At 42.1% G+C, this 26,996-nt stretch overlaps 1 protein-coding gene across 3 annotated transcripts in view; it reads right to left on the bottom strand.

Moving 5' to 3' along the window:
* Positions 1-899: 899 nt before the first annotated feature.
* SENP2 (SUMO specific peptidase 2) overlaps positions 900-26,996 on the bottom strand; it is a 47,257-nt gene continuing 21,160 nt past the window's right edge. For 2 of the 3 annotated variants that reach the window (NM_021627.3, XM_005247691.4), the window contains 11 exons: positions 25,101-25,204; positions 22,706-22,800; positions 21,793-21,844; positions 21,043-21,106; positions 19,711-19,887; positions 16,840-16,971; positions 14,949-15,152; positions 12,546-12,625; positions 10,369-10,453; positions 8,058-8,153; positions 900-4,669 (listed from right to left, as the gene is read on the bottom strand). In NM_021627.3, the coding sequence (NP_067640.2) occupies positions 4,607-4,669; positions 8,058-8,153; positions 10,369-10,453; positions 12,546-12,625; positions 14,949-15,152; positions 16,840-16,971; positions 19,711-19,887; positions 21,043-21,106; positions 21,793-21,844; positions 22,706-22,800; positions 25,101-25,204 (1,152 nt within the window). In that variant the 3' untranslated portion in view covers positions 900-4,606. The remainder of the gene's footprint in view (positions 4,670-8,057; positions 8,154-10,368; positions 10,454-12,545; positions 12,626-14,948; positions 15,153-16,839; positions 16,972-19,710; positions 19,888-21,042; positions 21,107-21,792; positions 21,845-22,705; positions 22,801-25,100; positions 25,205-26,996) is intronic. The other variant, XM_005247690.4, reaches the window with a different exon arrangement.

Below are 26,996 nucleotides of genomic sequence, written 5' to 3'. Positions count from 1 at the left end.
GGAAGGGGAGTGGTAAGGTTGCCCAGTGTGTTCTTAAAGTACATACTGCCAAGAACTCTCTCTGTTGCTTCTCCTGGCACTTTCCTAAGAAGTGTATTCCAAAAAATAGTTCCACAGGTGTCTCATAGAAAAGGGTTCAATGTCCAAGTTTTGGGAAATGCTAGGTTAAGACATAACTCGTTCATATCAAACTTCTTATGATGTTTGTTATACATCCCCAGGAGGAAAGGACATGGTACACATATTCATTGGCCCACAGACCCTTTGCTTTATATCCTTTAAAAACAAACAAACAAAAAAAAACAACAACAAAAAAAAACTGAGGTCTTGCTATCTTGCCCAGGCTAGTCTCAAACTCCTGGGCTCAAGCAATTCTCCTGCCTCAATGGCCCCCAAAGTGCTGGGATTTCATATTTTTTATACAAGTTACAAGACTTCTACTTAACACATTTTAGGAAATGCCCATCTGAGAACCTAAAGATTGTTTCCACCACATATTTCCATCAAAAGTCTCAAAGCTGCTAGTCTGTTTTCCTAGATTTAGATGGAGTCATCTCAAAACAGCCTCACATTTATAATATATATGGTATTTTTTGGTCTCAGGCTTTATGGTTTTAAACATCATTTGCCTCGCGGTCAGGTCACTTAGAGCAGTATTTTCCTTCTCTGCATTATCTGTCCATTAGTGGGCAGAGAAATCAACTTGGTGGTTACAACCTAAATGTTTTTAAAAACTGAAATAAAACTATCATCATAGTAAGGATATGTATTACTTCACAAAAGTGTATGTGCAATGTTGTTTGTGTCCATATACAATCACACTGTGTGTGTGTGTGTGTGTGGTCACAACATAAAATACTTATTCCTATGAGTTGCAATAAAAAACAAGTGAAAGCCACTGAATTAAAGAGATGAATTTATTGGTAAATAGATAAAATTAACACCTATTTTAATATATCCAAACCCCTTCCTTATATATATTAGGTAAATTAAAAGAAAAAAATTATCAAAGCAATACTACAGCCAGCTACATCGCCAATTTACAAATGAGTTAGTAAGTACCATAAGTTTGTTTGAATATCAGGTGCTTCAGAGTTTTTCTCAAACAGTTACAAAAGAGATTAGGTTCCCAATCAGTTCACAAAAGCTAATTTAAAGAATGTAGCTTAACTACAGTACTGAGGTTGTCACACACTTAACTTTCGGTCTCTTGCTTATTTATTCATATCTGAGGTTCACTGTTTCTACTAGGATACATTCCGCCCACACCCACACCTTGGTCCCCACATCAAGCAGCTCCTCACAGCAGGAAGACATCCGCTATCAGACATGGTTTTCTGAAGTTGTGCTTAGGATTTCAGAGGAGGAAAAATTCAGAGGTTCTAATAGCCTTCGGTAACTGAGGTAGAATATGGGGCTCCCAAGAATATCTTCCATATGCCCCAAATCTGTTTCCCTCCCACCCCCATCCAGCTCTGTTCAAGGTCAAGTTTGAGAAAGATACGTGTTCTCAATGGTATATTTTTAAAATCCACATCAATTTTTAAGAGACTACCTGCTAAAGGAGAATAATGGCTCACTGCATCTTTTCTCAACCCCCTAAACTATTTTAAAAACACACTGGCAGGGACAGGTGCAATGGCTCACGCCTGTAATCCCAGCACTTTGGGAGGCCGAGGCGGGCAGATCACTTGAGGTCGGGAGTTTAAGACCAGCCTGACCAACATGGAGAAACCCCGTCTCCACTAAAAATACAAAATTAGCCAGGGGTGGTGGCACATGCCTGTAATCCCAGCTACTCGGGAGGCTGAGGCAGGAGAATCGCTTGAACCTGGGAGGTGGGGGTTGCAGTGAGCTGAGATAGCGCCATTGCACTCCAGCCTGGGCGACAAAAGTGAAACTCCGTCTCAAAAACAGGCTGGGTGAGGTGGCTCATGACTGTAATACCAGCACTTTGGGAGGCCGAGGCGGGTGGATCACCTGAGGTCAGCAGTTCAAGACCAGCCTGGCCAACATGGCGAAACCCCATCTCTACTAAAAGTACAAAAATTAGCAGGGTGTGGTGGTGGGCACCTGTAATCCCAGCTACGCAGGAGGCTGAGGCAGGAGAATCGCTTGAACCTGGGAGGCGGAGGTTGCAGTGAGCTGAGATCACACCATTGTACTCCAGCCTGGGCGACAAGAGACTCTGTCGCAAAAAAAAAAAAAAAAAACAAAAAAAAAAAACAAAAAAAAAACCACTGGCTTTAATGGTGATAATTTGCTACTAATAAAATCAATAGCTGTTTTTCAACTGAACACTTAAACTTTTAGATCCAAATAAACTGTTTGGATCTAAAAAACTATATTACTAACATGTTTCCTTATGCCAAGGGAGACATGTGAGTGCCTAGAGAAGTATGGCCTGTGGTCTCCCACATTCAATTCAGGAACTCAGGGTCAAGCAGAAGGCCATGCTATAGACTTCAACACTCTGCTCTTCCCAATTTCATTATGTCCTGCAAGTTTTAAGAGCCGTCCGGAAGAGTGTAGGTTAATGGAAAGCTCAGTGAGAACTGCTCTGAAGAAGCCCCTCAAAATAATACATTAAGCTCAGCATCATTCACGTGGGCGGAATACAAACTGACATTCCTAACAGGACTTACCTAGCATGGACTCGATCTTAACCATGGTACCAAACTCTCAAGTGAAGCACACTGATGCCTGGTGAAAGCCAGGCGTTTGGTATGATGCTGACCTAGTGAACCTCTGGCCTTTTTGGCTGTGCTCATTACCTGGTCCCAGCACTCACTGGCACAATGCCAGGAGCCCAGAGAAAGGAGCAGGGGCTGCGGGGGGGGGGGGGGGAGGGGGAAGGGGGGAGGGAGGGTGGGGAAAGGGGAGAAGGGGGGAGGGTGGGGGAAAGGGGGAGGGTGGGTGTTAGGGAGAGAGGGAGGGGGAGGGAGGGGGAGGGGGGGGAGGGAGGGAGGGGGGAGGGAGGGAGGGGGAGGGGAGAGGGAGGGAGGGGGAGTGGGAGGGGGGGGGGAGAGGTGTGGTACAACCTGCTCCCGCTTCAGTCATCACCCACCACATGGCCTCTGGCTGACCATCCAGTAGGCCCAGCATTTTCCATCCACACCACAGGCCCCATGTCCTAAACCAGGAGTTTTACAAGTCTCAGGGAACTGGCTGCAATAGCTGTAACCAGTATACCTCTGGGACCAGCAGCCGGAGCACTGCAAATGGCAGGCGTGTAGATTCATAGGTAACACGTGCACAATTTTTCCAGTTTTACCTCTTGCTTTTATGAACCAGAACAAGTCTGGGAGGTTTAAGTAGGGAGAGGGTTAGAAATCATTTCAGCATATACTTTTTTAGGTTCTGCCAGACCACCTTTTATTACATCAGAAAAGCAACACTAGGCACTAGATCTTGCAAAATATGTTCTGACCAACTCTAAACTGTCTGAAGTTATAACCATATCAGTAAGGTTTTTAATGAACAAAAAAGTTAAATACAAACTTTCATATGCAAAATAGATTATTGTATAACTGGCAACCTCAGAGCCAAGTACTAAATTTTCTTCCACAAATTTCAGTGGGGATGGAGTGGGGAGATGTTAGTCTTAATGAGTAGAAAACTTAATTTAGACTTAATATATAGAAAACAAAAACTCTGAGGAAAAATAGCTTTAAATTGAATAGTATCTTTTGAAATAAACAGCTCAGGCCAGCCCCTACAATTCTGAGGTTTATACTCAACCAGATCTGGGATGAAAATGAAGATTTAGGGTTTACAGTTACTTCAAATCCATGAATCCAGTTTGAAGACTAAGCCAAGTCACCACATTTCCAGAAGGGGAAGTCTCTTTAAGGTGACCACAACACTCTTCGGAAGATGCTTGGATAATCAGAGTCCCTTGGGCACAGTTCCACTGTTCACGGCACTGTGCCAACGCTGTAGTGTCAGACTTCCTCTGAAAGGCAACAGGAGCCCTATCCCACAGCATTTTCATTTCTCCCAGCATTTTTTGAGCCTCAAAAAAACAAAAACAAAAAAAATCCCAAACCCTCCAGCTTCATGTTGGCAGTTACTGCTCCAGCTCCACTTCCTTCCGCCCCCAGTGAGAGTTCCCTCCTGCTCTTCAGCAGGGAGTGGCAGCTTGAGTAACATTCCTTTCAGAAATAAATAGTTCAAACAAGTAATTTAGAGCTAACTGTAAAAGAGCAGCAGTAAATGACCACTGCCCATTATGTTTGCAAACGAGTGAGTGAATGAATACGCTGAACAAACACACAGAAACAAACAATTCACAGAATAAATCCTGCATTTCCCACATTCATAGGGAAAAGAATCTCTTAAAAAAAATATTAGTTAGCGTTTGTTCTTGTGTGGGTTGAACAGTCCAAAGCTCTGAGCAGGCACAGCCTTACAAACAGGATTGCAAGCAGCCCTCTGCACCCCAAGTCAGGACTAGAGTACAGTGAGAGGCCTTCATGCACTTTTGACAGCTCAGTACCTGTGAGAACAGAAGTGATGCAGGGACTTTTTAACCCACAATGCATGAGGTATATGGAAATGTCTGTGAAAGAACCACCAGCAGCTAGAGGGACCAGGCAAAGTTTTCTCACAGCAACTGCTGATGAAGGATTTCCCACACCATCTTCTTCCGGAAGAGAGGCATCTGGTGCTGCAAAGAACCCCATAAACAACGCCCGCATTACATATTAATGTGCATGGCAGCACAACCTTCAGGTGTAATCATGTAATAAAGCAGGATGTCCATGTGCTTTTTCTAAGTGTTGACATTTTTACATCATGGAACATACTTATAAAACCATTTTTAACAGTTCATAATTACATGATATGTACCATAAGCACTTTTTTTTTTTTTTTGAGATGGAGTCTTGCTGTGTCACCCAGGCTGGAGTGCAGTGGCGCGATCTGCTCACTGCAACCTCTGCCTCCTGGGTTCGAGCGATTCTTGTCCCTCAGTCTCCAGCGTAGCTGGGACTACAGGTATGTGCCAGCACACCCGGCTTATTTTTTATATTTTTAGTAGAGACAGGGTTTCACCATGTTGGCCAGGCTGGTCTTGACCTCCTAACTGCAGGTGATCCGCCCGCCTCAGCATCCCAAAGTGCTGAGATTATTTATAGGCAAAAGCCACCACAGGCGGCCTACCATAAGCATTTTTATATGTTAAGGAAAACCAAAGCAGGATGTAGAATTATACAGTATAGTACAACTTCACAGTCCTGCAAATATCCACGTGGTGGCACAATAGGCAACTTTTCTACTTATATGAATTTTCAAAACATTCTAAAATGAACATATTCTGTTTTTTTATGAGAAAAACGTATTTATTTAAATAAAAAACAACAAAATCTACAAGTTTCTTTCTGCTCTACCAGGCGTTGTACATTGCCAATTCTGTTCAAACAGCAACTTCTCCCTTTAAAATCTCATCTTATTAGGTTCAGAGAACAGCCAACTGCTTTGCTATTTGGCAACATGAAACAATGAGATGTTTTGCTTAATAAATGATTCTGCTTTAACTGAGAATCACTACATGGGCAATTTGCAAAGCAGCAACACAAAAAGCAACTCCAAAATTACCCGTAGTACAACTAGTCCTTCTAGTGTATACGGAAGTTCACATTCTTGGCCAGGCGCGGTGGCTCACGCCTGTAATCCCAGCACTTTGGGAGGCCAAGGTGGGCATATCACCTGAGGCCAGGAGTTCGAAACCAGCCTGACCAACATGGAGAAACCCCGTCTCTACTAAAAATACAAAATTAGCCAGGGGTGGTGGCGCATTCCTGTAATCACGGTTACTTGGGAGGCTGAAGCGGAAGACTTGCTTGAACCCGGGAGGCGGAGGTTGCAGTGAGCTGAGATTGCGCCATTGCACTCCAGCCTGGGCAACAAGAACGAAACTCCGTCTCAAACAAAAAAAGAAGTTCACATTATTGAGGCACTCCTGATGTATCATTATAAATAGTTGGATGTCCCTTACTATAAACTAGTGATGTCACCGGGCGTGGTGGCACATGCCTGTAATCCCAGCACTTTGGAAGGCCAAGGCAGGTGGATCACCTGAGGTCAGGAGTTCAAGACCAGCCTGGCCAATATGGTGAAACCCTGTCTCTACTAAAAATACAAAAATTAGCCAGGCATGGTGGTACATGCCTGTAGTCCCAGCTACTGGGGAGGCTGAGGCAGAAGAATCGCTTGAACCTGAGAGGGAGGTTGCAGTGAGCCAAGATCACACCACACTGCACTCCAGCCTGGGCAACAGAGCAAGACTCCATCTCAAAATAATAATAATAATAATAATAAACTAGTGATGTCCTCCCTAGGGGTGGGGGCTAAAAAGTCTTAACACATGATTCTTAAATTATTTTAAATAGTTCAAAACATCTAGTAAAAACTGCACATTTGCTCTTAGTAAAACTGCTGAGACTAAGCAATAAATGCCTTTATTTTTTACTGGAATTATATTAATTCAGCACGGGAGTCCTAGTTACTTCACGTAATAGAGTTTGTATTACAGTTTGTATTCATGGAATACATACAGTTTGCTTGGTAGACAACATCTATCAAAATAAGGTCTGTGGATGAAAAATATTCTTTAATGAGGTTGTCCTCAGTTGTAAAAAGGTTGAGAATCCACTGTTACAAATTCTCAAGAATTCCCAACATACTTGAGTTTCCAATCAAATGCAAAGCCATGGAGAATTAAACAAAAGAGCAGAACAGGCCAGGCGCGGTGGCTCACGCCTGTAATCCCAGCACTTTGGGAGGCTGAGGCAGGTGGATCACGAGGTCAGGAGTTCGAGACCAGCCTGGCCAACACGGTGAAACCCCATCTCTGCTAAAAATACAAAAATTAGCTGGGCATGGTGGCGCATGCCTGTAGTCCCAGCTACTGGGGAGGCTGAGGCAGGAGTATTGCTTGAACCCAGAAGGCAGAGGTTGTAGTGAGCTGAGATCGTGCCACTGCACTCCAGCCTGGGCAACAAAGCGAGACTCCATCTCAAAAACAAAACAAAACAAAACAAACACAAAAGAGCAGAACAGAAAGGAAAAGCAGTATTCACAAGTTACATCTTAGACCTGTGGCTTCAGTTCTCACAGGCCGATTTTTCCCTTGCTATTAAACACTGACATACCTCTTTCTTTGGCTAGAAATAATAATACACAGGAACCAATGAATGCCACAGTTCAGAGATTTGCAAATTGTGCCCATTGTGTCACCAAAGACTAGGATAAACCTGAGAGCAGATAAAATAACCCTGATTCTGGCAGGAGTAGGGCTAAAACCAAGATTTACAGCAATAAGAATAGCACAGCTACTACTATTTTTTTTTTTTTTTTTTTTTTTTGAGACAGGGTTTCTCTCCTGTTGCCCCAGGCGGCTGAAGTGCAATGGCACGATCTCGGCTCACCACAACCTCCACCTCCCGGGTTCAAGCAATTCTCCTGCCTCAGCCTGCCTCCCTAGTAGCTGGGATTACAGGCATGCACCACCACGTGGCTAATTTTTTGTATTTTTAGTAGAGACATGGTTTCTCCATGTTGGTCAGGCTGGTCTCGAACTCCTGACCTCAGGTGATCCACCTGCCTCGGCCTCCCAAAGTGCTGGGATTACAGGCATGAGCCCAGCTACTACTATTTATTTTATTTATTTATTTTTGAGACAGAGTCTCGCTCTGTCACCCAGGCTGGAGTGCACTGGTGCGACCTCGGCTCACTGCAACCTCCACCTCCTGGGTTCAAGTGATTCTCCTGCCTCAGTCTCCTGAGTAGCTGGGATTATAGGCATGCACCACCACGCCTGGCTAATTTTTGTATTTTTAGTAGAGATGGGGTTTCACCATGTTGGCCAGGCTGGTCTTGAACTCCTGACCTCAGGTGGTCCACCCGCCTCGGCCTCCCAAAGTGCTGGGATTACAGGTGTGAGCCACCACGCCTGGCCAGCTACTACTATTGAGAGCTGAATGTGTGCCAGGCACTGGCCAAGTGCCTTATCTTGCTTAGTAACAAGTAAATGGATGAAGAGGGTCTTCACTCACCTGAGTAAATGTGATAGGTTTGTCCCTAGAAATATAATCTGCATATTTACAAGTAAACATTCCACAATCACTCCCATTCAGCTGTTGAGGAATCTCCTAAAATTACAAAGAAAAAAGAAGAGAGGAAAGGGTAAAACATCATTAAATACAAATTCCTTGGACTTTTTCTAAATATTGCTGTAAACAATATTATAAAGGTAAATATTAAATCAGGTATTACCTAAACACACAGTCATATACAAAAAACACAATTATTCTTACTCTATGTGGTATAAAACATAGATCATAGCAAGGGAAAAACAGGCCTTGTGAGAACTGAAGCCACAGGTCTAAGATGTAACTTGTGAATACTGCTTTTCCTTTCTGTTCTGTTCTTCTGTTTAATTCTCCATGGCTCTGCATTTGATTGGAAACCCTAACTATGAGATGGAGTGCATGACCCGACCCCACAGGAAATGCTTTTCAGAAGAGAAAAACACAAAGTGAGAGTTGCATCTCTCAGCTCCCATTCCAAGAAACCAAACTGAAAGGAGGTTTACTACCAGGGATGCTAGTCAGAATTATTTCAGAAGCATTTATCAATTTTAAAAAGGGCCAAGTGTGGTCAATCGGAAATGTAACTTCTCTAGCTAAGAAAATAAGACTACTGCTTTGGACCCTACAGCTTCAAGGTGGACAGAGAGAAGTTCTGGATAGGCTTTAACCAATTAGGATCTTGCCTTGATGGATCAGTTCTGCCGTAAGGCAAAAACACTTGGTACAAGCAGCACTAAGAGCATAATAAGCCAAAGGTGGTGGATTCTAACCCCACTGAGCTCACACCTTCTCCAGGCCTGTGTTGCCCTAATCTTGGCAGTCCCTGACACACTCTGGCTGTCAGTCACAATTAGCGCAAGTTATTGCTGGAAAACACACTAGATGACAATAGCTCAATTTTTACTCAAAGAAATGAAGTTGATTATGATTTTTAAAGTTTGCCTAGTGGCCGGGTACGGTGGCTCACGCCTGTAATCCCAGCACTTTGGGAGGCAGAGGCGGGCGGATCACGAGGTCAGGAGATCAAGACCATCCTGGCTAACATGGTGAAACTCCGTCTCTACTAAAAATACAAAAAATTAGCCAGGCGTGGTGGCAGGCGCCTGTGGTCCCAGCTACTCGGGAGGCTGAGGCAGGAGAATGGTATGAACCCGGGAGGCGGAGCTTGCAGTGAGCCAAGATTGCGCCACTGCACTCCAGCCTAGGCGACAGAGCGAGACTCCGTCTCAAAAAAAAAAAAAAAATTTGCTTAAATACATACCACCCATACATACGCATATACCTCACACTTTTCTCTCAAGCCTAGCATCTCTCACAGAATGGACAAAACTAGAGACTACAATATACAAAGAAAGGCAGTTTGTTTTCTTTATTCCATTTCCCATACCAGAACACAGTATTCATCCTAACAGACTCTTCCTTGTATCTGTGCTCTCCTTAGGAAATTTCAAAGCTTATCCTTCAAATTTTTCTTTTTCTTTTTTTTTTTTTTGAGACAGTCTCGCTCTGTTGCCCAGGCTGGAGTGCAGTGGTGCGATCTCGGCTCACTGCAACCTCTGCCTACCGGGTTCAAGTGATTCTCCTGCTTCAGCCTCCTGAATAGCTAGGATTATAAGCACGTGCCACCAGACCCAGTTAATTTTTAGTGGTGACAAGGTTTTGTCATGTTGGCCAGGCTGGTCTCAAATTCCTGACCTCAGGTGATCTGCCCACCTCGGCCTCCCAAAGTGCTGGGATTACAAGTGTGAGCCACCGCGCCTGGCCCAAACTTTTCAGTTTAGAAATTAAAATGCTTTTTTTGGCATGGGATCCTAAGACTTAAACAAACTCCCAAATTTTGGAAAAGAAATGTAAACTTTCATTAGCACCAACCGGGAAATTAGCCAACTTCAATGTATTGGGTTTCTTCCCAATTCTGTGAGAGACATGCAAGCATATGTTAATATTTACATTTAGACAAGAAGATGAAAGCTAAGCACCCATTTTAGTTAGATTAATTGCTAGAGATTTAGAAGCAGATCATTCTTAAGATGTAGACTCTGGCCAGGCATGGTGGCTCACACCTGTAATCCCAGCACTTTGTTTTGGGAGGCCCGAGACTAGCCTGGGCAACAAAGCAAGATCCCATCTCTACAAAAAAGAAAGAAAGAAAAAAAAAGATGTGTACTTTAAAAGCATGCAGGGAGGGAGGAAGGGCAGGAAGGGAGCCAAATCTAGATAATATACTATTAGTAAATGCAACCAAGTATGTCACATGTAGATGATCGTCACTCACGTGTGGTTTCATGCTGTGATGGGTCCACTCTAAAAGATTCAGATCACTATTTCTTTTGGTCTTACTTTCATCCTGTAAATACTGACTAAAAAGCAAAACAAAGAAGGAATACATCAATAAATCCCTAAAGAAATTAACCATTATGGTTACATAGGGCTTTCTGATGTTAAACAGATATGCCATTCTCAAATCCATATTCATTAGCTTTTTAAAAACGTGACTGCTTTCTGGATTTTTTTTTTTTTTTTTTTTTTTTGAGACAGAGTCTCGCTCTGTCGCCCAGGCTGGAGTGCAGTGGCGCGATCTCGGCTCACTGCAACCTCTGCCTCCCGGGTTCACGCCATTCTCCTGACTTAGCCTCCCAAGTAGCTGGGACCACAGGAGCACGCCACCACGCCCTGCTAATTTTTTGTATTTTTCTTAGTAGAGATGGGGTTTCACCGTGTTAGCCAGGATGGTCTCGATCTCCTGAGCCTGTGATCCCGCCTGCCTCAGCCTCCCAAAGTGGCTTTCTGGATTTTTTATTTAATTTGGGGAGGTCTGCTTATAAAAATTGTACATGCTTGTTTTTAAAAGTTGAAATATATATCAGGTTGATAAGCATTAGATGCCCCCACCAAAATTAAGATACAAAAAATAACATAGGCCGGGTGCGGTGGCTCACGCCTGTATATCAACACTTTGGGAGGCCAAGGCGGATGGATCACCTGAGGTCGGGAGTTTGCGACCAGCCTGACCAAAATGGAGAAACCTCATCTCTACTAAAAATACAAAATTAGCCGGGCGTGGTGGCACAAGCCTTTAATACCAGCTACTTGGGAGCTGAGGCAGGAGAATCTCTTGAACCCGGGAGACAGAGGTTGCGGTGAGCCGAGATCACGCCATTGCACTCCAGCCTGGGCAGCAAGAGTGAAACTCCATCTCAAAAAACAAACAAATAAATAAATAACATAAAAAGCCAAAGACCACCGGGCACGGTGGCTCACGCCTGTAATCCCAGCACTTTGGGAGGCTGGGGCGGGCGGATCACCTGAGGTTGGGAGTTCAAGACCAGCATGATCAACATGGAGAAACCCTGTCTCTACTAAAAATTCAAAAATTAGCCGGGCATAGTGACGGAAGCCTGTACTCCCAGCTTCTTGGGAGGCCGAGGAACGAGCATCACTTGAACCCAGGAGGCAGAGGTTGCAGTGAGCTGAGACTGCACCACTGCATGGGGTGACACAATGAGACTCCATCTCAAAAAAAAAAAAAAAAAAAAAAAAGCATGAATGTAATAAAGTATGAATTTTCAAATCCTGGTATAAGCAGCACATCAAACTATACTGTATGATCCCAGTAAGAACATTTCTATACATGGGATAATATATGTATACATATGAATGCAAATGTATGTGCGCACAATTTATACACATCTTACAAAGAAAAGACTAGAAGAGAACCATTTTATAAACAATTGGTGTATCTTATGATTTTTAGAATTTTCTTCTCTATGCTTTTTATTCAAGATAAACAACCATAAATAAAAATAATATTTTATACTAAAACAATATTATTGTTAGCAACAACTTTTCTTCACAAGATTCATTTGTCCTTAGTAAAGTTAAAAGAAGGAACTTCATTGCTTCTAGTGAGCAGAAAAGGAAAAATGGACCCATCTTACTGATGCGTTTTCTCACTCAACTCATGTCACTACTTTACCTAGCTAAGAAGTAGGTATGCTTTAAAGATTGGTTTCTATTATAGCAATTACTATTTGAAACAGTCTCCTCAAACCACACACTTTAAACACTGCCCCTGGGTTCTGAGATAAACCCAACTCTCATGGAAAGCATAAAGATACAAATGGGCTTAAGAATTGAGAGGACTAGCACTCCCCAACTAACAGTTCCTAAGAACATTCAGAATAACGTATCGATGCCAAAGAAATCTAATGCAAGTCACAGGATTCTAATAAGATCTATTTTACATCATAATACATGACAAACTTGTTTCCAGTGATGCTACTAAACACGTTTTCTCAGTTGAAATCAGCTATTATTTTAAAAATAAAATGCATGCTAAGTCCTGAAATAGCCTTAACTACACATTAGACTACCATCCACACAGCTTCCTAGGATGAGATAAAAGAGAGATCACCTCAACAGGGGGTAGTGAGGTTTTCAACCTTTACTTACAGGAGAATCTCACAGATCCTGTGGCCCTTTTGTCCCATAGAATCCAGATATTTAAGACACTTTTTTCTTAGGTCAATCACCTATAATGGAAAAAGATAACATCCAGAAACATCTTAAATGTAAGAGGAGTGAGAATTTTACTTCCAAAAATAAAAGCATCTTTTAAAAAATACATGTACCAATATAAATTTTTTATGTATCTTAGAAATCCATTTATGGGCCATGCATGGTGGCTCACACCTGTAATCCCAGCACTTTGGGAGGCTGAGGCGGGCGGATCATGAGGTCAGGAGTTCGAGACCAGCCTGACCAACATGGCGAAACCCCGTCTCTACTAAAAATACAAAAATTAGTCGGGCATGATGGCACGCGCCTGTAATCCTAGCTGCTCAGGAGGCTGAGGCAGAAGAATCACTTGAACCCGGGAGGCAGAGGTTGCAGTGAGCCGAGATTGTGTCACTGCACTCTAGCCTGGGTGATAGCGAGACTCTGTCTCAAAAAAAAAAAAAAAAAAAAAAAGAAAAAAAAGAAAAACGATATCCACTTATATTGGTACATGTATTTTTTTTTTTTTAGTTAAAAATGTGTCTTACGTATCTTTAGTAAAAAAAGTGTGTTTTTAAGTTAAAAAATTAGTGGTCCTCTCAGAGTGATGAGACTTTTTTTTTTTTTTTTGCTTTCTTTATATCTGTATCTTTCTTTCCTTCTTTTCTTTCTTTCTCTCTCTCTTTTTTTTTTTTTTTTTTTTTGAGACAAGATCTCACTCTGTGACCCAGGCTGGAGTGCAGTGGTGTGATCACGGCTCACTGCAGCCTCGACCTCCTGGGCTCAGGGAATCTTCCACCTCAGCCTCTCACAGGTGTGCACCACCATGCCCACAAAGCTGGGACCACAGGTGTGCACCACCACGCCCAGCAAATTTTTAAATTTGTATAGACAGGGTCTTTCCATGTTGCCCAGGCTGGTCTCAAACTCTTGGGCTCAAGCAACCCCTCCTGCCTCAGCCTCCCAAAGTCTGGGATTATAGGCATGAGCCACCACACCTGGCCTTATAAATGCATTTTTCTGCAATAAACCTGTACTATCTTGTAAACAAAACTAAATAAATATAAATAACCCTTATGCATACTAAGACTCTTTCCTGTTAAAAATGAAAGCTCCTCGGCCAGGTGCGGTGGCTCCCGCCTATAATCCCAGCACTTTGGGAGGCTGAGGTGGCGGATCACGAGGTCAGGAGTTCAAGACGAGCCTGACCAACATGGTAAAACCCCATTTCTACTGAAAATACAAAAATTAGCCAGGTATGGTGGTGGCACGTGCCTGTAATCCCAGCTACTCAGGAGGCTGATGCAGGAGAATTGCTTGAACCCAGGAGGCGGAGGCTGCAGTGAGCCGAGATCGTGCCATTGCACTCCAGCCTGGGAAACAGAGCAAGACTCCATCTCAAAAACATACAAACAAACAAAAAAAAGCTCCTCAAGTACAAGGACTTCGTCCTGTAGCCTTCTAAAAGTTGTTCAACTCAAGAACTAAAAAGGAGGCCAGGTGCGGCATCTCACCCATCATTCTGAGAGGCTGAGGTGGGAGGACTGCTTAAAGCCAGGAGCTCAAGACTAGCTTGGGCAAAAAAACAAGACTCTTGTCTCTACAAAAAAATTAAAATAAATTAAAAAAAATTAGCCAGGCATAGTGGTGCATGTCTGTAGTCCCAGCTACCTGGGAGGCTAAAGTGAAAGGATCACTTGTGCCCAGGAGGTGGAGGTTACAGTGAGCTATGGTTGTGCCACTGCATGCCAGCTTGGGTGGCAGAATGAGACCCTGTCTCTAAAAATAAAAATTTAAAAAAAAAAAAGAAAAAGAAAAAGAAAAAAAGGCCAGGCATGGTGGCTCACACCTGTAATACCAACACTTTGAAAAACTGAGGCAGGAGAACCACTTGAGGCCAGGCGTTGGATACCAACCAGGGCAACATAGCAAGACTCCATCTTTCCAAATATATAAATAAATAAAATTAGGCAAGCATGGTGGACCATGCCTGTAGTCCTAGTCACTCAGGAGGCTGAGGCAGGAGGATCACCTGAGTCCAGGACTTCCAGGCTGCAATGAGCTATGATCACACCAGTTCACTCCAGCCTGGGCAACAGAGCGAGACCTGGTCTGTAATTTTAAAAAATAGTAAAATAAAATAAACATAAAATTTTTTAAAGAATAAATAAATAAAAAGAACTAAAAGGGTTGGGTGAAGGATGGGACATTAAAAAAAAAACTAAAAAGAGACTCTGCAGAGTATGCTTATAATATATACTATTGGCCTCTATACACAGGGCAGAAAAAGGCAGCATTATTTTTAAAAAATGGCCTTTATCCAAGTCCAACAATTAACCATTAACCCTCTCTACTCACCACCAGGCTCCAATGTACCTTCCGATGAATAGGCACCAGAATAATTTCTTGTTCAAAGAGATTTACCCCTTTGGTCCATCGTTTCACTGCTTGGTAACCCCCAGACTTTAATTTAGGATAGAAGAAAGTACTGAATACATGAAGTGCTGGATAGCCTTGCTTTTTATTTCTTTCCACCAGAAGATTCATGTAAAAATTAATGACCTACAAAATACCAAGGGAGCAAAAGCTGGAACATGGCAAACATATTATCAAAACTAAATTTCTACCTGAATAAGGATGAATTCGAAGGTAAGGTACTAAAGAAGAGGATAAAAAGACTGTCTATAGTAGAAGACAGGGAAAAAAGTGATCAGTGCAAAATGGGACACATGAAAATGAAATGAAACTGTACTTTTAAGGCATGTGAGTAACACTTAACAGCCAGAAGAAGGAATCCAGGAAGAAAGTCTGTGCAATAATGGAAAGATCTACATAACTGTATCACACCAAAAATACGCAGAAATATTAACAGTAAGTGAATTTTACTACATATAAATTAGACTTCAATTTTAAAATATTAACTTGAAGGACATACACCAAAATAATATTTTATTTATCTCTGAGTGGTGATACTTTTTTTTTGAGACGGAGTCTTGCCCTGTCGCCCAGGCTGGAGTCCACTGGCGTGATCTCGGCTCACTGCAAGCTCTGCCTCCCGGGTTCACACCATTCTCCTGCCTCAGCCTCCCGAGTAGCTGGGACTACAGGTACCCGCCACCATGCCTGGCTAATTTTTTTGTATTTTTAGTAGAGACGGGGTTTCACCGTGTTAGTCAGGGTGGTCTCGGTCTCCTGACCTCGTGATCCGCCCGCCTCAGCCTTCCAAAGTGCTGGGATTACAGGCGTGAGCCACCGCGCCCGGCCGAGTGGTGGTACTTTTGAACAGTAATATTTTTTACTTTTCCTGTATTTTCCAAATATTCTACGATAAACAAATTACATTTATAATGTAAAACAAAACATTCCTGTTTTCAAAGAATGTGTTTATAAGTAACTAGTCATAGGGGACTTCCCTCAAAGAGAGAACATGCAGGGGCTAAGCAGTTCGGGGAAGAACCCACCAGAAAATTGTCAAAGAACTTAAGAGTTAGCTTTTGCTAAATGTATTAAGGATACAAGATGACAAGTTAGGCAAAATTTTTCAGCTATCACTCAAAGAAAAATACACATAGTATATAGTGATCAATATATCCCTTTATTACTCAAAAAATAAAACAGGCCAGGCACGGTGGCTCACGCCTGTAATCCCAGCACTTTGGGAGGCCAAGGCGGGCGGATCACCTGAGGTCCAGAGTTTGAGACCAACCTGACCAACATGGAGAAACCCTGTCTCTACTAAAAATACAAAATTAGCCGGGCATGGTGGCGCATGCCTGTAATCCCAGCTACTTGGGAGGCTGAGGTAGGAGAATTGCTTGAACCCAGGAGGTGGAGGTTGCGCTGAGCCAAGATTGCGCCATTGCACTCCAGCCTGGACAACAAGAGCAAAACTCTGTCTCAAAAACAAAACCAAAAAACAAAAACAAAAAAATAGCTACTATAAGAATTCACCTAAAATACAGTATCACTTGCTGCTTCCTCCCGTTTATCAGCTGTACCCAGGGTTTATTGAAGACCAGTAAATGAAGTGGTGGATGCAATAAAATACAGACGCAGAAAAGGGAAACATCGCTAATCAAAGGCAGAAAATCAGAACTAACCATCTTTTTAAGATTTAAAATGTTTTTGTTTTAATTATAACTAAGAGTTGCATTACCAACCCATTATAACTGGGTAGGAGTCACTTTGATTATAGATAATAAATAAATAAACTTAATGATAGCCAAAAGGGGGAGGGAATACAACTTACTTCATCATTGAGCCAGTGATAGTTCTTTAATGTCTGAATATCTCCTCGAGTAATTCGCAATTTGAAAGCACTACTTAGGATTTCATCCTGTGGGCCATGGCCTAGGGCATTACTGATTTCCTTTTCCATGTCCTGAATTAGAAAGTTCAGAAGTTGCTATTTTAATATAGAACCATTCATTATCAGTTATTGAAAACTCCGAGACTGAAAAAAGTTTTTCATCTCGGCAACACCTGACTCTTGAGAAAAATATACTATCAAAGACCTACTAAACTACAGTAGGAAAACATTTTTTTCTTATTTTTAGTGATAGAGATGGGGCCTCATTATATTGCCCAAGTTGGTTGCAAACTCCTGGGCTCAAGCAATACCTGCCTTGGCCTCCCAAAGTGCTGAGATTATAGGCATGAGCCACTGCACCAGCCCTGAAAATATTTTAACTTATAACTACAAAGCAGCCTTACTTAATTGTTGTAAGTAATACTTACAACAAATCCTGGTTCACTTATTAGCTTGTGGAAACAATAATTTAATAATAATATTTACATCTAAAGTATAGTCTCAATTTTCCTACTACTACGTATTAACCACTATGAGTCAAACATGGTGTTAGATGCTTGAAGCACATCATTGATCCATATTAGTGAGGAAGACATTATTATCATTTTATAGAGAAGAAAATTGAAACCCAGAGAATTTATTTTACATATTCAAAGTCATATAATTATTAAAAGGTAGAAGAAGATTTGAACCCAGGTGCATCTAATTTCCTGGACTTTGCTCCCTTCATAATAGTAAACTCCTGATTTCCACTTTAAACGTTTTTTTTTTTTTTTGGAGACGGAGTCTCGCTCAGTCTCCCAGGCCGGAGTGCAGTGGCGCCATCTCGGCTTACTGCAAGCTCCGCCTCCCGGGGTCACGCCATTCTCCTGCCTCAGCCTCCCGAGTAGCTGGGATGACAGGCGCCCGCCACCACGCCCGGCTAATTTTTTGTATTTTTAGTAGAGACGGGGTTTCACTGTGTTAGCCAGGATGGTCTCGATCTCCTGACCTCGTGATCTGCCCATCTCGGCCTCCCAAAGTGCTGGGATTACAGGTGTGAGCCACCAGCCTGGCCCTTCTTTTTTTTTTTTTTTTGAGACAGATTCTCACTTTGTCACCCAGGCTGGAGTGCATGCAGCTGCATGATCTCAGTTCACTGCAACCTCTGCCTCCCAGGTTCAAGCAATTTTCATGCCTCAGTCTCCTGATTAGCTGGAATTACAGGTGCACACCACCATGCCAGCTATTTTTTTGTATTTTTGGTAGAGACGGGGTTTCACCATGCTGGCCAGGCTGGTCTCGAACTCCTGACTTCATGATCCGCCCATCTTGGCTTCCCAAAGTGCTGGGATTACAGGCGTGAGCCACCACGCCCATTCTCGCCTTTAAACTTTTAAAACATCAAAAAAGGCTGGGTGTGGTGGCTCACGCCTGTAATCCCAGCACTTTGGGAAGCCAAGACGGGCGGATCATGAGGTCAGGAGTTCGAGACCAGCCTGGCCAGCATGGTGAAACCCCATCTCTACTAAAAATACAAAAATTAGCTGGGCGTGGTGGCACGCGCCTGTAGTCCCAGCTACGCAGGAGGCTGAGGCAGAAGAATCACTTGAACCTGGGAGGCAGAGGTTGCAGTAAGCTGAGATTGTGCCACTGCACTCCAGCCTGCCAACAGAGCGAGACTCTATCTCAAAAATAAATAAATAAATAAAACATCAAAATAAGATTAGGACATCTAAGGGGTCACACCATCCTTTTTGACATGAAGAGAATAAGCAAACAGGCAGAAACTTGGAAACCACCCAGCAGTCTAGCAATTGACTCCTTATGGAATAAATGGCTTCATCATACTAAAGAATTATGCAGATAAATGCATTATTTAAGATACAAAACTAAATCTATAAACCCAATAGAAATTATTTTCCTCTAGGCCGGGGGCAGTGGCTTGCGCCTATAATCCCAGCACTTTGGGAGGCCGAGGTGGGTAGATCATCTAAGGTCAGGAGTTCGAGACCAGCCTAGCCAACATGGTGAAACCCGGTCTCTACTAAAAATACAAAAATTAGCTGGGCATGGTGGCAGGTGCCTGTAATCCCAGCTACTAGGGAGGCTGAGCCAGGAGAATCACTTGAACCCAGGATGCAGAGGTTGCAGTGAGCCAAGATCGCGCCATTGCACTCCAGCCTGGGCAACAAGAGCGAAACTCTGTCTCAAAAAAAAGAAATTATTTTCTTCTAAATATATGCTGCTTCCCACTGCACACAGCTTCACCATTTTATGGATCTCTCTCTCCACCTACATGCCCAATATAACAGTAAGTATTCAAGAGATTTGCCTACTAGGGCAACATTGTGGAGGAAGCCAAGATGTGGGCACATCTTTAAAATAAGAATTTTAACTACCTTCATTCTTTATGTTCTGTAAGTTTTTACTATTTTCAAATGCAATAATCAACAAAGGGGGCATTTTAGTAAACTATAATAACTTTCAAAAAAAAAATGCAATGAACTTATTCTTAATGCCAAACCCATACTATATAACTCAACATATTTGAAGGTTAGAATTTACAAAGAATCTGTTGTATTCCAAGATATGAGATGACTGTGTCGACTCCCCATTTGCTGAATATCAATCTGATCCCTTAGGCCACTAATGATCATGCCTCACTAAAGATCAATGTAGTCAAAGTGAATCAACAGACCATGGACCTGACATGTTTTCATATATTCACCCCTAGCCTGGAGAAAGTCCTCAAAACAAAACATTCAAGTTAGAATAACTGAGGTTATTTAAAGACATGCCTCTTTTTAGGATCAATACAAAGAACAATACCTCTGTAAGTTCAAGGAGATCGTCCGTTCTTCTGTCCCTCTCTTTGCCTGAGCAATTCTTTTCCTTTGTCTCAATTATTGACACTTTCCTCCTGAGTAAGCCATTGCTTCCACTGCCCAGGCGGAGTCGGGCCGACACTTCTTCTGATAGGTCAGGCTCCAGTTGGTATCCCCTCCTCTGATCAAAAAATTATCTAAATTCTACTGACATGTTTGATACTTGCAAATATAAACACAGATTACACATGAAATATAAAACTGCCACTAATGTGAAAGAAAAGAGAATTAGCAAATCCCCCAAGTGAGTAGATTTACCCTATCTGTCTGTCCCTGCAAGGGGGAGCAAAAAAAGCTCCAGACCTAGGCCTCACAGGACCCTCAGTTATGAACCATCAAACAGAACACTCACCACCTTCCCTGGAAGTAGCAAGAAAAGTATTTTCAGTTCTCCTATCACAATTAAAATTAGTATGTTTAAAAGATATTATGAAAGTTTTAAACAGCAAAAAATATGACCCACAATCCCATCACTCAGAATAAATCCCTACTATCTTTATAGTAACTCAACTTGGTTCTAGTTTATCCTTGAAAAAAGTCATTTGATATTACAGAAAATGCACAAAACATTAATGTACCACTTAATTTGAATGAACACCTATATAACCACAATTGTAGTAAACAAATAGAATTCTGCCAGCAACCCAGAACATATCATCTCTTTCCAGAGATGTATGATTTTTAAGAAATTCTCCCTAAGAAGCCATAAAATGTAGGTAACATGTTGGTATGGAGGCAGATTGGTCTCTCATAAACAAAGGTGGCTACTGTACAGAGGCAAAACTCCAACAACTCAGAAGGAAGAAAAAAGTTGTGTATTTTCAATGCTTCCTGCCTTTTTTTTTTTTTTTTTTTTTGAGACAGAGTCTCATTCTGTCACCTAGGCTGGAGTGCTATGGTGTGATCACAGCTCACTGCAGCCTTGACCTCCTGGGCTCAAGCAATCCTCCCACCTTAGCTTCCCAAGTAGCTGGGACTACAGACATGCCACCATGCCTGGCTAACTTTTAAATTTTTTTGTGGAGACAGTCTCACTATGTTGCCCAGGCTGGTCTCAAACTCCTGGGCTCAAGTGATCCTTCTGCCTTGGCCTCCTAAAGTTCTGGGATTACAGGCATGAGCCACTGTGACTGGCTGGCTTGCTGCTTTTTTAAAGAAAAACAACAGAATTAACAATCAAAGTTATATATATATACTTTTTCTTGCTTTTCATGGGCACCAAAACATAAGTTACATAAGTAAACAGGTATCAAATGTAACTAGGATTTTTACTTACACTTTCATTTTCAAATCTGATTCCGACCATCGTCTCTGTATCAGTAATTTTCCCCTTTGAACACCTAAGGAAAAAAATTGAGAGATGATAGACTTCTGCTAGATGATTCAAACCTAGTACATCCTAGTTTTAGAAATAAGATTTCGTAATTTGTACATAAAAATTGTGTTGAGTTTACATAATACTCTAAACCAGGAGTCAACGAACTTTTCTGAAAAGGAACAGACAGTATTTTAGGCTTTGCAGGTTTTATGGTCTTGGGCACATCGTGGCAACTCTGCCACTGTAATTTAAAAGCAGCCAGACAGTATGTAAATGAATTCGCATGTTCCAATAGAAATTTACTATACAAAAATAGGCAAGTAGACCAGATTTGGCCCATGGGCCATAGTTTACAAACTCTGCTATAAACCATCATCCCAAAATCCTAAAGCATGCAGAGCTGCCTTTACTGTTCCTATCCTAAAGACACTGACACTAGACATCCCCACTCCAACCAAACTCCCATCTAAGAAGCATGTGTTTCTCCCAACCCCTGACGCCTGGGAGATAAGGGGCACCCCCCTCAACCCACCAGGCTAGGGTGGGCATCTGACACAACAGCTAGCTACCTATCTACCCTATATGCTGACCAACTACCAGAACTCAAGAGAGTTCACAATTCCTCAGAACTGCTTACTCATAAATACAGCTTATAAAGTAAGAAAATATATATTAAAAGAAAGTGTAGAATGAACTGAATGTACGTACCTCTTTTCACTTCTCAATGAACATAGAGGTCCCCTTGTTTCAACAAGTCTATCTGTGAGGATGGTAAAGAAAAGATTAAATGTTTCCTTCATCGATGAATAATATAGTTAGAATTTCAGCTTACAGAGTTTCCACAACATCAAGACATTCCTCTACATTGAAATGCTACAGTGAATTCCAAAGACACTAGCCTCCCTATATACTAAGTTGCCTAAAAAAATGCATACATATCTTTGCTGTTTAAATATAATCTTTACTATAAACTGAGTGATATCTGCTTATCTGGTAAGCTGTCATTTAGTGGACAGTAAGTGGAGAAGTATAAGGAAATTGTTATATAAGGAATATAATAAAATTTCAGCTCACAAAATAGTTGCTACTATCTAGCAGCTTAGGAATAATAATCCAGAGCCATGTTATGAATCTACTTCACCCTGAAACAGCTTTTCTACTAAATTCCTAGATAAGCCCCAGTCAATGCTGTGAGGTTTTTTTTTTTTTTTTGAGACAGAGTCTCACTGTCACCCAGGCTGGAGTGCAGTGGCGTGATCTTGGCTCACTGCAACCTCCACCTCCCAGGTTCAGGCAATTCTACTTCCTCAGCCTCCTGAGTAGCTGGGATTACAGGCAAGTGCCACCATGCCTGGCTAATTTTTGTATTTTTAGTAGAGATGGGGTTTTACCATGTTCGCCAGGCTGGTCTTGAACTCCTGACCTCAGGTGATCCATCTGCCTTGGCCTCCCAAAGTGCTGGGATTGCAGGCGTAAGCCACCGCGCCCGGCCCAATGCTGTGAGATTTGACAGTATTTTGGTACACCATCTACACTTGAATGTCAATTTTCTACCTCATATGAACACTGTAGCATGAACTAAGGTCAATATATTAAGACAAGGCTAAATCTGGGAACTCACATTGTTTTGGAACAAACTGAGTTGTTTTGACTCCGTGATTTTGCTCTTCCCCCCAGCCTTTGGTCTTTAATGTGTCCATCTGACTTCTTTGAGAACTTAGAAACACAAAAAGTGAGGGAGATCAGATACAAAAGCAAAGTCTACCATTAATATGCATTATCTCTGTCCAGCAAGCTTCTCCAAATAGGGGTGATTGATTACACTATTATATCAAATTACAACAGAAAGGAAGCAACTATGTGGGACTAGGATAAAAGGAGTCTAATCATGATTCTAATAATATTTCAGCCAGGTCACCTAACCTCCAGTTTCTCTGTTTGTAAAATCAGAGGTTCTGAATCCCCAGTGATGCACTAACTGAAAAATCTCAGTGTGATAAAACTCAGATTAAAAGATAAAAAACTTTTTAAGCTATGTATTTAAATGGATCCTGAAACAATACATTAAAAGCAAGAACTTTTTGTTTTTTGAGACGGAGTCTCGCACTGTCGCCCAGGCTGGAGTGCAGTGGTGTGATCATGGCCTCACTGAAATCTCTACCTCTCAGGTTCAAGTGGTTCTCCTGCCTCAGCCTCCCAAGTAGCTGGGATTACTGGCACACGCCACTACACCTGGTTAATTTTTGTATTTTTAGTAGACATGGGGTTTCGCCATGTTGGTCAGGCTGGTCTCGAAGTCCTGACCTCCAGTGACCCACCTGCCTCGGCCTCCCAAAGCGCTGGGATTACAGGTGTGAGCCACCACACCCAGCCAGAAGCAGGAACTTTAATTATTTATTTATTTATTTTGAGACGGAGTCTCGATCTGTAGCTCAGGCTGGAGTGCAGTGGCACAATCTCTGCTCACTGCAAGCTCCGCCTCCCGGGTTCACGCCATTCTCCTGCCTCAGCCTCCCGAGTAGGTGGGACTACAGGTGCCAGCCACCATGCCCAGCTAATTTTTTGTATTTTTTAGTAGAGATGGGGTTTCACCGTGTTAGCCAGGATGATCTTGATCTCCTGACCTCGTGATCCGTCCACCTCGGCCTCCCAAAGTGCTGGGATTACAGGTGTGAGCCACTGTGCCCAGCCAAAGCAGCAACTTTAAAAAGCAAAAATAGTTTGAGGGTTTCGCCAACATGACAAAGTTAAGAGTTCGTTAAACATACTGCTGTTTCCAACATATGGCTGGTCAAAATGGAGAAAATACTGACATTCTGACTAAACCAAAAGAATTTTTTTTTAAAGTTCACAACTGATTATTCGCAAACAATCTGTTATTTCTGCATTCAAAAGCTAGATAGTAGGCCGGGTGCGGTGGCTCACGCCTGTAATCCCAGCACTCTGGGAGGCTGAGGCTGGTGGACTACCTGAGATCAGGTGTTCGAGACCGGCCTGGCCAACATGGTGAAGCCCCATCTCTACCAAAAATACAAAAAATTAGCTGGGCGTGGCGGTGGACGCCTGTAATCCCAGCTACTCAGGAGGCTGAGGCAGGATAATCGCTTGAACCCAGGAAGCGGAGATTGCAGTGAGCTGAGATTGCATCACTGCACTCCAGCCTGGGCAACAATAGTGAAACTCCATCTCAAAAAAAAAAAAAAAAAAAAAAAGCTAGATAATATTCTGTGACTTTTTAATCTTCGATTTGCTATTATATAATTTCTGGGATCCCTGTGTTTTCTCACACCACTTGTTAGAATTACCTAGTGTACCTCAATCCTGAGCTCACACATTTTTTGTCCTCCTTTCACAGGCAAATACAAGGCCAAATATCACTTCCTTCTGCCACTCTCATCTATTAATATTTGCTTAAATCATTATTTAATTAACAAGCTGTCCTATAAGGAAAATTGTTATGACCTGGGAGACTTTAATCTTGTCTCTAGTGGGTTTCCAAATGTGCTAAGATTCAATCTCTATGATGCCGCAGGGACTAGGTATGTCTCATGGGGTAGGGGTGAGGCAGGGGGAAGGAAAAAAGACAAAAAGAAAGACCAGGAGGAGGTGAAGGAGAAAGGAAGGAAGGAAGGGAGATGGGAGAAATGGAGAGAGGGGCAGGAGTGGGGTGGGGAAGGGAGGTAGAGAGAGAGATTGTGGGAAATGTATGCTGGGGAGGTTGAAGAAACTCTCTGCCTCTTGGGAGCCCTACTTCAACCAGTGATCCACTTTTTTAATATAAGAGTTTCAAGTAAAAGTTTACTTGAACAAAAGGTCCTAAAGGTAACATAAAATTTTACTTTGCAAAACCACTGTTACATATTATCCATTACTAGATAAATATCCAGGCAAATGACAGAGCTAGTTCTCTCAGGGTTAACCTCTTCTTTCAGTAAAGCCCTTCCCACCAATACTTTCTCCAAAAACAAACAAACAAAAGATGCCTAGCAAAGCATTATCTGTTAGCTCACTGTCACCTGTGATAATTTGAAGTTACAGGACAGACAGAGTTTCCATGACCACTTTCTTTAAGTCGTTCCAATAACTTTCGGTACTTCTCTCTTTCCTCTTTTTGAACACCCTAAATAAAAGAAAGCATGTTAGATAAGTACCAGCACATTAAATTTATAATTAAAAGGCCAAATGTAAACCATAGGTGTGTTTTATTTGCCAGCACTATGTTTTTAATATTTCTTTGAATTAATTACTAACTTTATACATTTTTTAAAAATAATCTAGCCTCCTTTGATCAACTGAATCCACAATCTATATGTAGGGCTATCCCATTTAGATGGGCCACTGCTCTCCAGCCCACTTTATTCATGTTATCTGCTAAATTCTGATGGCATCTAGGTTTTTGACAGAACTGGGTTGAACAGAATTAGGTTAACTACAAAAAAACTCAGCAGAAATCATCTGCTTGCATAACGAGAATATACAGTTTCCAAAATGAATTGGCCTCACCAACATCACCAGTAACCTCTATGGCTACATTTAATAGACACTTTTCCAGTCCTTATGTTACTTGATCTCTCTTCAGCATTTCACCCTGCTGACCTGCCTTGCTTTCCTAGACAATAAGCTCTTCTGATTCTTTTTTCTCTGTCTCCACTGGAGATTATTCCTTCTGCCTACATCATACTGATGGTTTGCCCGTATCTCTTCTTGCACTACATTCCTTCCCTGAATAATCTCATCAGCTCCCTTGATTTAAATAACACCAACAGGTTAAAGATTCAGAAATGTGTCTCCTCAAAATTTCCATCACATATATCCACGAGCTTCCAGGAGAGGTTTTCTTGTGGGTTTCACAGGGAGTTTAAACAATGTCCAAGACTGGAGTCATCATCTTCCCCATAAACATAGGGTTATCTTTGTAAGTGACACATAGTGATTCCCAAAACTGAAATCTGGGACTCAGACCCTTCTATCTACTTTAGATCACACTTAATCAACAGATAACGTCCTTGCTAATACTACCTACCAATATTTCTAGAGTATATCTTCTGCATATTCCCCTGTAGATACTGGCTCAGTCCCATTTCTGATTTCTCATCTAAGAGACTGAAATATTTAACACCTCATCTTAAAACCCCTTTCAGGGATATGGTCCATTACTCTCTGCCTCCTTATCAAATAGCAACTATTTATGTATAAGCTCGTAGAGGGCAGAAACCACATTTCATTTAATCTTGAATTGCTAGCACAGTACAACTAGCACAGTACCTGGGACCCCAATAAATATTTCTTTGATGAACTAAATTAAACAAGTGGCTCAGAAAACTGTTGGCAAGTGAAATAGCAGATGGTCCTCGGGAGTGCCAGGTACAGGAATAATTCTAAATTTTCCTGGAATAAAAGAAAACCTCAAAAGGAAAGTAAAAAGATTGACTCTTCATCATGCTGAGTGTTCTGAAAGGTGAAGGAAAAAGCAGAGATGCACACCATTTACTTCCCTTCCTTAGTCACAGTTACTAAAGTTTATAAAAAGAAACAAGTTATGACTGGACGCGGTGGCTCACGCCTGTAATCCCAGCACTCTGGGAGGCTGACGCTGGAGGATCGCTTGAGCCCACGAGTTTGAAACTAGCCTGGACAACATAGCGAGATCCCATCTCTATATATAAAAAAAAACTTGGTAAATTTTTTTAAAAAAGCAAGTTAGACTAATTCAGGTACCCAAAAAGAATCTAATCTTGGCCAGGCTCAGTGGCTCATGCCTGTAATCCCAGCACTTTGGGAGGCTGAGGTAGGTGGATCACCTGAGGTCGGGAGTTTGAGACCAGACTGGCCAACGTGGTGAAAACTCATCTCTACTAAAAATACAAAAAATTAGCCAGGCGTGGTGGCACATGCCTGTAATCCCAGCTACT

The sequence above is a fragment of the Homo sapiens genome, chromosome 3 (genome assembly GCF_000001405.40).
Source record: "Homo sapiens chromosome 3, GRCh38.p14 Primary Assembly".
In the NCBI taxonomy this organism is placed as follows: Eukaryota; Metazoa; Chordata; class Mammalia; order Primates; family Hominidae; genus Homo; species Homo sapiens.
Note: the sequence above shows the minus strand (reverse complement) of the source record. Positions and strands in the feature narration are given on the sequence as shown.